Source organism: Homo sapiens, chromosome 7 (genome assembly GCF_000001405.40).
Source record: "Homo sapiens chromosome 7, GRCh38.p14 Primary Assembly".
NCBI classification, from domain to species: Eukaryota; Metazoa; Chordata; class Mammalia; order Primates; family Hominidae; genus Homo; species Homo sapiens.
Genome location: NC_000007.14, coordinates 84045054 through 84060675, shown reverse-complemented (window position 1 = coordinate 84060675; position 15622 = coordinate 84045054). Strand labels below are relative to the sequence as shown.

Genomic DNA, 15622 nt, shown 5'->3' with positions numbered 1-15622 from the left:
AAATAACTCTTGTGTTGGACATGAATACTTGACATCTCTCTGATTAACTGATGTGTTGAAAACACTCATTTTTATATATAAAGGAAACCCTTTTCTCTTTCTTTTTTAAATCCACAGGACAATATTTTTAAGCTGGAGAACTCACATTTTGAAAACGGCCGTGGGAAGAGTCCATATGACCCTAAGCTGCTGACAGCATCCCTTTTAATAGGTGCGTAGTCAACAATCAATTAAATAGTGAGTTTTCTATAAATAACAAACAGGTTGTATGTTCTTTTTTATCTACCAAGATTTTCCATTATGAAATAATAATTGTTTTAGAAGGACATTAGTTGTGATATATTCAAATGTTTGAAAATGAAGAAGAAACACTAAATGCTATTTTGCTTATTGCACCAACTAGTCTGATTCTTTTTAATGGAAATGGAATAGGATCTTAAAATGGCCTCTCAATTACTATGCAGCCCCACTTGGTACAGTTGGCAGAGACCCATTGTGTTACCTTGTGCTGGCTCATCCTAATATACATATTACATATACAGGCTAAGGGAAGTTACATTCTGTATTCACCTTTTATGAAATTAGCTCTTCTTTTTTGGAAAATCTAACAAAATATTTGATGTGACGTCCTCTACCTTTTTCTGTAACCATCATCTTTTCTAGCTTTCTCCTCTTTTCATTTAGCATTGCTGATAAGTGGGGAATGCTTATAGTTCAAAATAATAGAAGTAGATACAAATAAGATAAAACTTTAGTCTGTATTGAAAAATAAAGAATTTTTTCCAGACTCTTAACTACCTCCGGACTGGAGTTAACTAAATACACAAACAAAAAGTGGCAAATCATGAAGCAATTTTTAAATTTTTTATTTTCTCTTTATTTTATCATTTTTTCCTTTCTTTTTTATTTTTTAAATTTTGAGCATACCAACAACCTAAAACATAAAAAAATTCTGGGTCATGATTCTGTTCTTGAACATATTTTTCTACATAATTGTGTAGAAATTATGTACCTTTTTGTTTTCCTTTTCTATACAATATGCAAAAGAATTATTTAATAGCACAACAAAATGAAACTTTTCAAATCTAAAATTTCTAATTAAATTTTAAATAATAAATCTTGATTAAAAAATTAAATTTAGGTTATCTGATATGTCATAAGTTTATAAAGTTTTCCATGTTTCTCTTCTTATAATTTTTTCCTACTCAGAAAAATAAACTCTAGTCATATTGACTGCCATATTAACCATGAAGATATATATTTTTTCTGTATTTTCTAGTGTTTTCTTTTGTCACCATGTTTCACTGATCCTTATTCTATTAAGAAGAAATCCATTGTGGCATGAATTATCTCCTCTGTTGCTTTTCAAATGTGGACACTTTTAGTCCATTTCATGCATTTATGCAGCATTTTAACAAAAGTTTAAGACCTGAAGGAAGGCAGCATACCTAGCACACTTACAATTTTCCTATTTATGGTTGGTCTAGTGATTATTTGTGGATGGCTTCCTCAAAAATACATGCTGAAATTTGAACGTTGTTTTAAACAAAGGGTAGGAGTCATATTTTGTATGAACTTACAGCTTATAGTTATTTAAATTGCACACTGAAAAAAGGATAGGTATTCCTTAAAAAGCAGTATGCTAAAGTGTGCCCAAAGCAGCTTTACTTCATGGTATGTTTCTCAGTAGGGACTTGCTTGATTATTTATTTTAATATTCCGCTGAGAAAGAATGATGACAAGTAGGTATTACCTAGTTCATATGGTATGCAACCACCCAAAGTCCACAAAGAAAACGAAACTCCACAGTTTTAGTTTTATATTTGAATATCTTTGAAAAAGCTATATAGGTTTATGAAAAGGCAGAGAGAATGAGCAAAGTTCAGTGAGTCAGGAAGAGGACGTGGCTAGAAAGAACAATAGGTGTTTCAGAAAAAGAACTTTCAGATGGAAGTGCAGACCTAACCTATCCAATATGGTAAAATAATTTAGTAATTTTCAGAGGTATGTAGCGCTTATTGACAAGACCAAATAAATTAACTTCTGAAATCATTGAATAGCAAGATACAGAAAAAGAAACAGGCCATATTATACCTGGCAAAATCCTTCAAAATACCTGAAACGCCATTTTAATTCAAGAGCTGAAACTCTCTGTGTTGAAGTTATTTGCTTTCTTTATAACTGTGCTATAAATTCTTCCTCTTATGGTACATTTAGTTCCCCTTGTTGGGTTTTCGTTGGCATTTTCTCTCATACTGCTCTAAAAAGAATGCTCACTAGTTTAATGGAGCTTTTTAACATAAATATTTTCTACAGCACTTCCCAAACTCTTTTACATACAAGGGTAACAGCTGTCTCAGAAATATACAGGTTGTACTTTGTATATCAGAAAATGGCCATTGGGAAAACCTATGTTCCCAAAAGCTTTTGGATACACCTTCCTCATTGGTACAAATAAGATAGAAATTTTAAGGTGGTTCTAGGCTTCTTCCTTCCCCAATACTGGGAAATAAAATTTCAGGTTGGGCTCAAACCATCTGTAAACTGGCTAGATGGATCTTGGCAGCAAATATTTTTTATACCACCAATCCCACTAGGAAAGAAGTAGTTTCAAACAGTAGTAAACTTTAAAACCAGATGACAGCTTAAAATTTTTAGTTTACAAAAACTAGCAAGGTTTAATATGACTTCTTCCCAAAATGCCATGGGTTTTTAAGCTGAGGACTATTGAGAATATGGATTCTCTCTTGAGCAATGCAAAGCTACTGAATGAAGTCCCCAAATCCAAGAACATGTCCTAAGTTTTTCAAACCAAAATAGTAAAGTTAATTTTGCAATCTCCTTTAAAAGTGATCATTTTGTCAAGATGAATTTGCTCCAGTCTTTATTTATTTATTTATTTATTTATTTATTTATTTATTTATCTTGCTCTGTCGCCCAGGCTGGAGTGCAGTGGCATCTCAGCTAACTGCAACCTCTGTCTCCCGGGTTCAAGCAATTCTCCTACCTCAGCCTCCTGAGTAGCTTAGACTACAGGCATGTGCCACCAGGCCTGGCTAAGTTTTGAATTTTTAGGAGAGACAAGGTTTCACCATGTTGGTCAGGCTGGTCTCGAACTCCTGACCTCGTGATCCACCCACCTCAGCCTCCCAAAGTGCTGGGATTACAGGTGTGAGCCACAGCGCCTGGCCTTATTTTTTTTACTCTTTCTTATTTCATCCACCTGCAAATTTTTTTTATGAATTTGTTTTAAAAAATCTTTTACTAAAGATAGCAATTACTCACCTGCTAATAATAAATGCCAGATGTGAACATAGCACAAGGATAAGCCTCAGTATTTTCCAACACTAAGTACTATCTCACATTTTCATGATGTGAAAGAACAGTCAACTTGAGAGCAATTTTATTTTTTCATTGAAATCTTTTCCAGGCAATGCAGCACTAATAATTTAGAAATATTCCATCCCTAAGAGGTATTATTGAGACCTATTTCAAAGGTCTGAGACTTTTAGCTAAGTTTATATCCTCAAGTCAAAATGCTGTCTTGTCTCAGGAAAGAGCATAATTTGACATTACAAAATGCTCTCACTTGATACTAGAGCAAATAAGGAACTCTCTAAGTTAATTAGATACAATTGAAAAAATTATTTGAAGCTCTCTGAGCCTCAGTTTCCTTGTACCTGAAATGGTATGGCAGTATTACTTTCACTAGTGTGTTGTGAGAAATAAGACAATGTAATAGCATACTATTATTTTCGGTGCTTGTGTAATTCTTTAATATATGCAAAGATAAAATAAGCAAACTTGCAGCAGTAGTTGCCTGTAGAAAGGCTGGGAGGGAGATTTGGTACCTTATAAATTTTACATTTTCAATTTTATACCATGTAGACATATAAACTGTTGAAAAATTTTAATTTTAAAAGAACAACATAAGTAACGAAGCCAAAATATTTATTGATATAGAGAAGGTGCTCAATAAATATAATAGTGTAAAATTTTTCTTACATCCATGGATTGCATCCGTGCTCTGTGTGTATGTGTGTGTGTGTGTGTTTCTGTGTGTGTGATAGAGGGGGTATTTTCTTTTTTTTTTCCCCCTTCTGTTTCTAATTTCTTTGGTACTCTGTGAGTGGAATTTACTTAAGGTGTTAACAACATAATGGCTTGGTGTTTAAGTTTGTTTGATATTTTGCTCACATCCATGTCACACTTTTCACCTGTGTTAGTAATGCTGCAATTTCATCAGGAAATGTGGTTTTGTTTCCACCTTCTGTTTCTCCTCACCACACCCTTCTTAGGAATTGTAATCCAATACATTCACTGATCTAAGCCACATTTTTACTTCATTTTGAGTTTTGAGCAGAAAGTCTAGAGTATATATGAACTTTTGTTTTTAATACGTACTTCTCAGGCAACTAAGCCATAATAGAAATGCAGTTCACAAAACTGTTTTTGTTCATCTCAGTAAAGTATGCTCTCCTGTGAGAGAGTTAAGAAAGCTTCCAGTTAAGAAAGAATGGTCGTATCCTCAAATAGTAACTTTTGTGTTTGACAGTTTCTGAATGATAGTTTACATATGTCAGCACAAATTTGTCTTAGTTCAATATATTATTTTTGAAATGTTAAACTGCCCATGTGGTATTTTTTTGGAGAGCCTTAAAGATCTTGTAGGGTATAGTATTCACAACCACCTTTTAATGTAGACAATAATTTCTAGATATATGATTCTACCATCAATTTAATAAAATTGGACAAATGTTTATTTCTTTCACAATTGGCTTAGTATATGTGAACAGCTCTAAAGTATGTATCTCAATTATAATGTCATTTGAATAATTGCAGAATAACATTTAACTAATACACTACTTCAGATTTTCAAAAAGACTTCTATTAGGATCTGAAAATTGTCAAATTAACACTATGCTTAAGAATCAACATATAATTTGGGGAGGAGCCAAGATGGCTGAATAGGAACAGCTCCGATCTACAGCTCCGAGCGTGAGCAACGCAGAAGACGGGTGATTTCTGCATTTCCATCTGAGGTACCGGGTTCATCTCACTAGGGAGTGCCAGACAGTGGGCGCAGGTCAGTGGGTGCGCGCACCGTGCACGAGCCAAAGCAGGGCGAGGCATAGCCTCACTCGGGAAGCGCAAGGGGTCAGGGAGTTCCCTTTCCTAGTCAAAGAAAGGGGTGACGGATGGCACCTGGAAAATCGGGTCACTCCCACCCGAATACTGCCCTTTTCCGACGGGCTTAAAAAACGGCGCACCAGGAGACTATATCCCACACCTGGCTGGGAGGGTCCTACGCCCACGGAGTCTCGCTGATTGCTAGCACAGCAGTCTGAGATCAAACTGCAAGGCCGCAGCGAGGCGGGGGGAGGGGCGCCCGCCATTGCCCAGGCTTGATTAGGTAAACAAAGCAGCCTGGAAGCTCCAACTGGGTGGAGCCCACCACAGCTCAAGGAGGCCTGCCTGCCTCTGTAGGCTCCACCTCTGGGGGCAGGGCACAGACAAACAAAAAGACAGCAGTAACCTCTGCAGACTTAAATGGCCCTGTCTGACAGCTTTGAAGAGAGCAGTGGTTCTCCCAGCACGCAGCTGGAGATCTGAGAACGGGCAGACTGCCTCCTCAAGTGGGTCCCTGACCCCTGACCCCTGAGCAGCCTAACTGGGAGGCACCCCACAGCAGGGGCAGACTGACACCTCACATGGCAGGGTACTCCAACAGACCTGCAGCTGAGGGTCCTGTCTGTTAGAAGGAAAACTAACAAACAGAAAGGACATCCACACCAAAAACCCATCTGTGCATCACCATCATCAAAGACCAAAAGTAGATAAAACCACAAAGATGGGGAAAAAACAGAACAGAAAAACTGGAAACTCTAAAAAGCAGAGCGCCTCTCCTCCTCCAAAGGAACGCAGTTCCTCACCAGCAACGGAACAAAGCTGGATGGAGAATGACTTTGACGAGCTGAGAGAAGAAGGCTTCAGACGATCAAATTACTCTGAGCTACGGGAGGACATTCAAACCAAAGGCAAAGAAGTTGAAAACTTTGCAAAAAATTTAGAAGAATGTATAACTAGAATAACCAATACAGAGAAGTGCTTAAAGGAGCTGATGGAGCTGAAAACCAAGGCTCGAGAACTACATGAAGAATGCAGAAGTCTCAGGAGCCGATGCGATCAACTGGAAGAAAGGGTATCAGCGATGGAAGATGAAATGAAGCGAGAAGGGAAGTTTAGAGAAAAAAGAATAAAAAGAAATGAGCAAAGCCTCCAAGAAATATGGGACTATGTGAAAAGACCAAATCTACATCTGATTGGTGTACCTGAAAGTGACGGGGAGAATGGAACCAAGTTGGAAAACACTCTGCAGGATATTATCCAGGAGAACTTCCCCAATCTAGCAAGGCAAGCCAACGTTCAGATTCAGGAAATATAGAGAATGCCACAAAGATACTCCTCGAGAAGAGCAACTCCAAGACACATAATTGTCAGATTCACCAAAGTTGAAATGAAGGAAAAAATATTAAGGGCAGCCAGAGAGAAAGGTCGGGTTACCCTCAAAGGGAAGCCCATCAGACTAACAGCGGATCTCTCAGCAGAAACCCTACAAGCCAGAAGAGAGTGGGGGCCAATATTCAACATTCTTAAAGAAAAGAATTTTCAACCCAGAATTTCATATCCATCCAAACTAAGCTTCATAAGTGAAGGAGAAATAAAATACTTTACAGACAAGCAAATGCTGAGAGATTTTGTCACCACCAGGCCTGCCCTAAAAGAGCTCCTGAAGGAAGCGCTAAACATGGAAAGGAACAACCGGTACCAGCCACTGCAAAATCATGCCAAAATGTAAAGACCATTGAGACTAGGAAGAAACTCCATCAATTAACGAGCAAAATAACCAGCTAACATCATAATGACAGGATCAAATTCACACATAACAATATTAACTTTAAATGTAAATGGACTAAATGCTCCAATTAAAAGACACAGACTGGCAAATTGGATAAAGAGTTAAGACCCATCAGTGTGCTGTATTCAGGAAACCCATCTCACGTGCAGAGACACACATAGGCTCAAAATAAAAGGATGGAGGAAGATCTACCAAGCAAATGGAAAACAAAAAAAGGCAGGGGTTGCCATCCTAGTCTCTGATAAAACAGACTTTAAACCAACAAAGATCAAAAGAGACAAAGAAGGCCATTACATAATGGTAAAGGGATCAATTCAACAAGAAGAGCTAACTATCCTAAATATATATGCACCCAATACAGGAGCACCCAGATTCATAAAGCAAGTCCTGAGTGACCTACAAAGAGACTTAGACTCCCACACATTAATAATGGGAGACTTCAACACCCCACTGTCAACATTAGACAGATCAACGAGACAGAAAGTCAACAAGGATACCCAGGAATTGAACTCAGCTCTGCGCCAAGCGTACCTAATAGACATCTACAGAACTCTCCACCCCAAATCAACAGAATATACATTTTTTCGGCACCACACCACATCTATTCCAAAATTGACCACATAGTTGGAAGTAAAGCTCTCCTCAGCAAATGTAAAAGAACAGAAATTATAACAAACTATCTCTCAGACCACAGTGCAATCAAACTAGAACTCAGGATTAAGAATCTCACTCAAAACCGCTCAACTACATGGAAACTGGACAACCTGCTCCTGAATGACTACTGGGTACATAACGAAATGAAGGCAGAAATAAAGATGTTCTTTGAAACCAACGAGAACAAAGACACAACATACCAGAATCTCTGGGACGCATTCAAAGTGATGTGTAGAGGGAAATTTATAGCACTAAATGCCCACAAGAGAAAGCAGGAAAGATCCAAAATTGACACCCTAACATCACAACTAAAAGAACTAGAAAAGCAAGAGCAAACACATTCAAAAGCTAGCAGAAGGCAAGAAATAACTAAAATCAGAGCAGAACTGAAGGAAATAGAGACACAAAAAAACCCTTCCAAAAATTAATGAATCCAGGAGCTGGTTTTTTGAAAGGATCAACAAAATTGATAGGCCGCTAGCAAGACTAATAAAGAAAAAAAGAGAGAAGAATCAAATAGACACAATAAAAAATGACAAAGGGGATATCACCACCGATCCCACATAAATACAAACTACCATCAGAGAATACTACAAACACCTCTACACAAATAAACTAGAAAATCCAGAAGAAATGGATAAATTCCTCGACACATACACTCTCCCAAGACTAAACCAGGAAGAAGCTGAATCTCTGAATAGACCAATAACAGGATCTGAAATTGTGGCAATAATCAATAGCTTACCAACCAAAAAGAGTGCAGGACTAGATGGATTCACAGCCGAATTGTACCAGAGGTACAAGGAGGAACTGGTAGCGTTCCTTCTGAAACTATTCCAATCAATAGAAAAAGAGGGAATCCTCCCTAACTCATTTTATGAGGCCAGCATCATCCTGATACCAAAGCCAGGCAGAGACACAACCAAAAAAGAGAATTTTAGACCAATATCCTTGATGAACATTGATGCAAAAATCCTCAATAAAATACTGGCAAACCGAATCCAGTAGCACATCAAAAAGCTTATCCGCCATGATCAAGTGGGCTTCATCCCTGGGATGCAAGGCTGGTTCAATATACGCAAATCAATAAATGTAATCCAGCATATAAACAGAACCAAAGACAAAAACCACATGATTATCTCAATAGATGCAGAAAAGGCCTTTGACAAAATTCAACAACCCTTCATGCTAAAAACTCTCAATAAATTAGGTATTGATGGGACGTATTTCAAAATAATAAGAGCTATCTATGACAAACCCACAGCCAATATCATACTGAATGTGCAAAAACTGGAAGCATTCCCTTTGAAGACTGGCACAATACAGGGATGCCCTCTCTCACCACTCCTATTCAACATAGTGTTGGAAGTTCTGGCCAGGGCAATTAGGCAGGAGAAAGAAATAAAGGGTATTCAATTAGGAAAAGAGGAAGTCAAATTGTCCCTGTTTGCAGACGACATGATCGTATATCTAGAAAACCCCATTGTCTCAGCCCAAAATCTCCTTAAGCTGATAAGCAACTTCAGCAAAGTCTCAGGATACAAAATCAATGTACAGAAATCACAAGCATTCTTATACACCATCAACAGACAAACAGAGAGCCAAATCATGAGTGAACTCCCATTCACAATTGCTTCAAAGAGAATAAAATACCTAGGAATCCAACTTACAAGGGATGTGAAGGACCTCTTTAAGGAGAAGTACAAATCACTGCTCAAGGAAATAAAAGAGGATACAAACAAAAGGAAGAACATTCCATGCTCATGGGTAGGAAGAATCAATATCGTGAAAATGGCCATACTGCCCAAGGTAATTTATAGATTCAATGCCATCCCCATCAAGCTACCAATCACTTTCTTCACAGAATTGGAAAAAACTACTTTAAAGTTCATATGGAACCAAAAAAGAGCCCGCATTGCAAAGTCAATCCTAAGCCAAAAGAACAAAGCTGGAGGCATCACACTACCTGACTTCAAACTATACTACAAGGCTACAGTAACCAAAACAGCATGGTACTGGTACCAAAACAGAGATATAGATCAATGGAACAGAACAGAGCCCTCCGAAATAATGCCACATATCTACAACTATCTGATCTTTGACAAACCTGAGAAAAACAAGCAATGGGGAAAGGATTCCCTATTTAATAAATGGTGCTGGGAAAACTGGCTAGCCATATGTAGAAAACTGAAACTGGATCCCTTCCTTACACCTTATACAAAAATCAATTCAAGATGGATTAAAGACTTAAACGTTTGACCTAAAACCATAAAAACCCTAGAAGAAAACCTAGGCATTACCATTCAGGACATAAGCATGGGCAAGGACTTCATGTCTAAAACACCAAAAGCCATGGCAACAAAAGCCAAAATCAACAAATGGGATCTAATTAAACTAAAGAGCTTCTGCACAGCATAAGAAACTACCATCAGAGTGAACAGGCAACCTACAAAATGGGAGAAAATTTTCGCAACCTACTCATCTGACAAAGGGCTAATATCCAGAATCTACAATGAACTCAAACAAATTTACAAGAAAAAAACATACAACCCCATCAAAAAGTGGGTGAAGGACATGAACAGACACTTCTCAAAAGAAGACATTTATGCAGCCAAAAAACACATGAAAAAATGCTCACCATCACTGGCCATCAGAGAAATGCAAAGCAAAATCACAATGAGATACCATCTCACACCAGTTAGAATGGCAATCATTAAAAAGTCAGGAAACAACAGGTGCTGGAGAGCATGTGGAGAAATAGGAACACTTTTACACCGTTGGTGGGACTGTAAACTAGTTCAACCATTGTGGAAGTCAGTGTGGCAATTCTTCAGAGATCTAGAAATACCATTTGACCCAGCCATCCCATTACTGGGCATATACCCAAAGGACAATAAATCATGCTGCTATAAAGACACATGCACACGTATGTTTATTGCGGCATTATTCACAATAACAAAGACTTGGAACCAACCCAAATGTCCAACAATGATAGACTGGATTAAGAAAATGTGGCACATATACACCATGGAATACTATGCAGCCATAAAAAATGATGAGTTCATGTCCTTTGTAGGGACATGGATGAAACTGGAAAACATCATTCTCAGTAAACTATCGCAAGAACAAAAAACCAAACACCGCATATTCTCACTCATAGGTGGGAATTGAACAATGAGATCACATGGACACATGAAGGGGAACATCACACTCTGGGGACTGTGGTGGGGTGGGGGGAGGGGGGAGGGATAGCATTGGGAGATATACCTAATGCTAGATGATGAGTTAGTGGGTGCAGCACACCAGCATGGCACATGTATACATATGTAACTAACCTGCACATTGTGCACATGTACCCTAAAACTTAAAGTATAATAATAATTTTAAAAAATGAAAAAAAAAAGAATCAACATATAATTTGATAACTTCATTAGTGGCCTAGAAACCACAAAAGAAGTTTGCTGAACAGGCATTTTTAAAAAATATATCTATTCTCCAAAATAAGCCAACTGAGGTACTGTAAATTTCTTATAGTCAGATATCTTTAGTTTATTTCACAAAGCCACAGAATGTAAATGTTCAAGTTTATTAAATGGCATATACTCTGGGTTGATATTACATTTCTACTTAATGAGAAATAAGAGAAGGTAGAATATACTACTGCTTGTGTTTTTGGGCAAAACAACAAAGATGTCATACCTTATCTAGAGCAATCATCATTGATAAGACTCCCCATAGAACCCTCACCAGGAAATCTGATCTAAGGCCCAGTGCAACTAAATAGTTTACTGACATTGAGTATGGACAAGATGGGAATGTGCCCTTCATGGCCACTTAATCATCTGGTACCCTCCAGTTCAATAAAATCATCTAACTCTTGCCAAAAATAATATTCATGTGGGAGGTAATTTCCTATAGCTGGAGGCAACTGGTGCCTAAACTGCATACTTATTTTGGTTTATAAGTCACATGTTTAATTCTCCTTTAGTCATAAATGGAGTAGCTCTTTTACTGAATACCTGTTCTACTTTCTCTGAAGGACCTTCTTACCTTTTGTGAAAAGAGAAATAAAATATTATTTCTGCCTTTACATTAATTTGCATTGATTTTTGTCTGTCTAATATGAGGTTGGATAAAAAATGTTATAAAACAACCAAATGCAAGAGAGAGACAAACACCTTTTCTATCCAAGTAATAGTTTTTAGTTGTTGATTTTACTATTTCAGCTGCCTCTTGAATAGACTTTAAATATAATAAACATCATAATTATGGATTTTCTTACCCTAAAGAAAGCTAAATGATAAGAATGATTGATTAATTACATTATTTACTCTAATATTTCCTATTAAACCTCCTGTTGACATGGTCTGACTAAATCCTGATATTAAATTTTTCAGTTTTCATTTTTTAAATTATTCTATTTTTAGTTTTTAACTGTGGTTTAGAGGCAAAGAGGTTCAACCAGTAATTTAATTTTTTCGATTTTTTTAAGGAAAGAAGACACAAGGTATCTTCTCACAGGTGTTCCATCATGAAAATGTTTGAAATTTGCATGATGTTTTGACAATGCACTTTTAACTGAGACCCTCTTATTCACTCAGACCAATAACAAACTCTTCACCTGATGTTTAAAAATACATCATCTATTTGCTAATATTTTGGGAAAAAATTAGATATTACCCTTAATAAAAATGTCATGGTGCTTGAATATTGGTTAATATTAAGGAGACAATAGGCATTTATGTATTTCAAAGTGGCTTTGAAATTTATACATAGGTTATCATAACATTTTTGCATTTTCAGAAAAGGGCTATTTCTAAAAATAAAGGCATATTTTAGTGAGAGCAATTCAGATTTACACTTGATATTTAAGTAAGTGAAGAATGTATAAAGTGCTTTTGAATCCCAAAGACACCATGCTGTGACAATTTAGGATGACATACAAGAACAATTCACTTACTAATAATTTATACTCAACATATTATCTAAGCATCTTTTTTATTTATCTTGAATCACAACAATCCAAAATGAAAGATCAAATTTTTAAACTCAGTTTTCAAGATAAGATTCATATCTATGGATGTTTAGAGTAATAACATGTTTATGTTGCTCAGTGATTTTCTCTGTGTCGCTTTTCTCCACTGTTCTGGAGGGTCTCCATAGTCAAGTCTATTCAGACATATAAGCGAGACAAAGGTTCTACCAAAGGAATTGCTTTGGTGTGGGCCACTATGAATATAAATTTTACATTGCAAAGCCCTTATTTGCAAGTAAGAATTAGGTACGTGAACATATGGTAATGTTACACAAATGCTTGTTATAATTTATCTTTGCCCTCTTTATTATCTGCATATTTTCCAAATCAACAAATAAACATTAACCTATTCGATCAACAAGATAATATTAAGATATACTGTAGTTGTCATGGATTATTTGAAGGAAAATGTATAACCTTTGTTGTTTTGTTTTCAAATAACTCACTGTATGTAGAAAGGCAATTACATGTTTTCTGGAAGAGATAATACAAGGTCCTTTCTGTTTCCAAGAAAGAAAGAGTAATTTTTACAAACTTTAGTTTGTTGAAAGGTGGTATGGTTTAGTGTAAAAGGCTTGGGATTAAACAGACCTGAGTTTGAACCTTCACCTTGAGTTGCCATTAGCTGAGCAACCTTGAATTTCTTGAACTGTAAAATAAGGATAACATTATTTACATTATGAGATTGTTAATAGAACTAAATGAGATAACTTGAAAGTGTCAAGCCAGTGCCGACTGGCTGACAAACACAGAGTGAAATTCAGTAAATATTAACTTCTCTTTTACCCCCTTCTTGTCTTTTCCCTTCTATTCTTTACCGTCTGGATATGATTCCTCCATTATTAAACTCTGACCTAGAGTTAATTCAATTTAAGTAGCAATGAGTCAAAAAGTGATGGAATCTTGCATTGGAGTGATTATGATCTGGGTTTGTCAAAATTCCTTCCTCTTAAAACACATTTCTGCTATATATGAGGCCATGTGGTTGACTTATTTTTGGACTGGTTGATAGCTTATAACAAATAAAAACACTTCTCCCACTAGATATATTAAAAAATAAAAAGCAAGAAAAAAATTCTGGCAAGAAAAATATTAGTTATTTCTAAATCATAGCAAAATCTCATTAATTCAGATCCTACTGAGAAAGAAGTGTATAAAAGATTTAATTGCCATTAGAATAAAAGCTATGAATAAGATTTTATAATGATACCTTACCCTACGTTATAAGGATATTAGAACCATAGTAACTTTACACATATGAAAGCAAGTGATATGATAAATGTAGTTTCCATTTTGTGAGTTTGTCAGTGGTCATAGTAGAAAATAATAAAATTTTATGTTTTAGCAAGATTCACTGAATCAGACTTTATTCAGATTTTCTAAGTACTAGATAAGTAGTCATACACTAAATCAGTGAATAAGTATTTGATAAAATACTTCCTTCAATAAGGACATATCCTTCAATAAGGATAAAAAATAAGTAACTGCATAATGATGCAGAGAGCATTTCAGTTTTCCTCTTAGCATGGTCATAACATGAAACTTGCATTTTGTTTGTTTTGTTTTGTTTTGTTTTTGCCTTAATTGAATTAAAGAATGTGTATGTGGTTTTGTCACAACACAGATGGAGAATTATACTCTGGAACTGCAGCTGATTTTATGGGGCGAGACTTTGCTATCTTCCGAACTCTTGGGCACCACCACCCAATCAGGACAGAGCAGCATGATTCCAGGTGGCTCAATGGTAGGTGGTTTATGAAAGAACATAGACATGTAACATGTGTAACTGTATTAAGTTACTAGAGAACTCTTTTACAGTACATGCAATATGACTTGAAATTTATTGTGCAGTTAAGCTAATGGTGGTGACTTCATGATGGTGGGTGTGAGAAAGTTCGGCAAAGAAAGAAAAGAGAGATTAAATATTCAGGAAAGATTCATTTAGTGCCAAAGTTGAAGTTTCTCAGTAGTTAGCTATGGAAAGAAAGATCTGGACCGGAGCTACGGAAGGGAGGAAATGGAAAAAGATAAGATGACTTACCAATTCTGTCTTATGGGGACACCACAACAAATCTTACAGTGTAGTTTTTTTTTTTCCTTTACATCTCTTATTGTTTCCTTGAAAACGTCATCTTATATACTAGTGAATGTCAAAAATTGAATGTTATTGCAGTGTGAATAACATATTAATAGTCTTTTCAAAATTTCAAATGTCTTTTAAATCATGATTTCATTTGATTCACATTTAATCTTAATCATCTTAAAACCCCTCTCCCAATTTATAGGTTAGGATTATTATCTAATCTAGTAGAAGATTGTTTAGAACAGAAACCCAGTTTTCTGAACTTCAGGCACTGGCTTAACTACTTGATCAAGTAGATGCTTATTATTATTTATTACTATTACTCTCTTTTCTTTTTAGTATAGAAAATAATTTTGGCATAGCAGAAAATGCACAAAATGTATATACCTAAAATAAATAAATACTACTCTTATTCAAAATTTTAACTAAGCAATCCTTTTATATCCTTCTACCTAGAGTTCTTTTTTTTTTAGTTATTTACACATTTACCAAAAATTTTTATAAAGGTCCCTACTATATTAATCATGGTTGTTTTTATCATTACTTAATTATCTATATTTATACCTACCTTCAATCTTAAAAAATAAAGCCACCCAATCTCCAATTATCCCTCCATGAATTTTTTCCTGCTTGTATATAACTCGTTCATAAGAATGAAGCATGAAATTTTTCCTGGTTTTACATAATTCATTAATAAGAAAGAGGCTTATGGTTTATAGTCATGTTCTCAGTAAGATGCCTGAATATCTCATTCTATGAACTTCTGCCACACTTAGTTTTCCTGCCTTATTCCAGGAACCCCAAAATTTAGTTCATTCCTTCTGTCTTCCATTAGTTATTAGAGAAAAATCACAGGTCTACCTATAGACCTCATTGAAATTCCAGGAGACCATGAGTTGTGTGACAACCTTTGTTCTGATCGATCCTATAC

General features: G+C 36.0%; 1 protein-coding gene across 3 annotated transcripts in view, besides 2 other annotated features; it reads left to right on the top strand.

Annotated features, from left to right (window-relative positions):
- SEMA3A (semaphorin 3A) overlaps nucleotides 1-15622 on the top strand; it is a 536949-nt gene that overhangs the window by 432050 nt on the left and 89277 nt on the right. For all 3 annotated transcript variants that reach the window (XM_005250110.4, XM_047419751.1, NM_006080.3), the window contains 2 exons: nucleotides 118-211; nucleotides 14233-14352. In XM_005250110.4, coding sequence (XP_005250167.1) covers nucleotides 118-211; nucleotides 14233-14352 — 214 coding nt within the window. The remainder of the gene's footprint in view (nucleotides 1-117; nucleotides 212-14232; nucleotides 14353-15622) is intronic.
- Nucleotides 4678-5269: an enhancer, noted in NCBI's record as "NANOG-H3K27ac-H3K4me1 hESC enhancer chr7:83684723-83685314 (GRCh37/hg19 assembly coordinates)". NCBI's record gives its function as "activates a minimal SCP1, AML or CMV promoter by ChIP-STARR-seq in naive H9 embryonic stem cells {active_cell/tissue: H9 hESC(naive)}" and the evidence as "EXISTENCE:reporter gene assay evidence [ECO:0000049][PMID:30033119]".
- Nucleotides 5270-5861: an enhancer, noted in NCBI's record as "NANOG-H3K27ac-H3K4me1 hESC enhancer chr7:83684131-83684722 (GRCh37/hg19 assembly coordinates)". NCBI's record gives its function as "activates a minimal SCP1, AML or CMV promoter by ChIP-STARR-seq in naive H9 embryonic stem cells {active_cell/tissue: H9 hESC(naive)}" and the evidence as "EXISTENCE:reporter gene assay evidence [ECO:0000049][PMID:30033119]".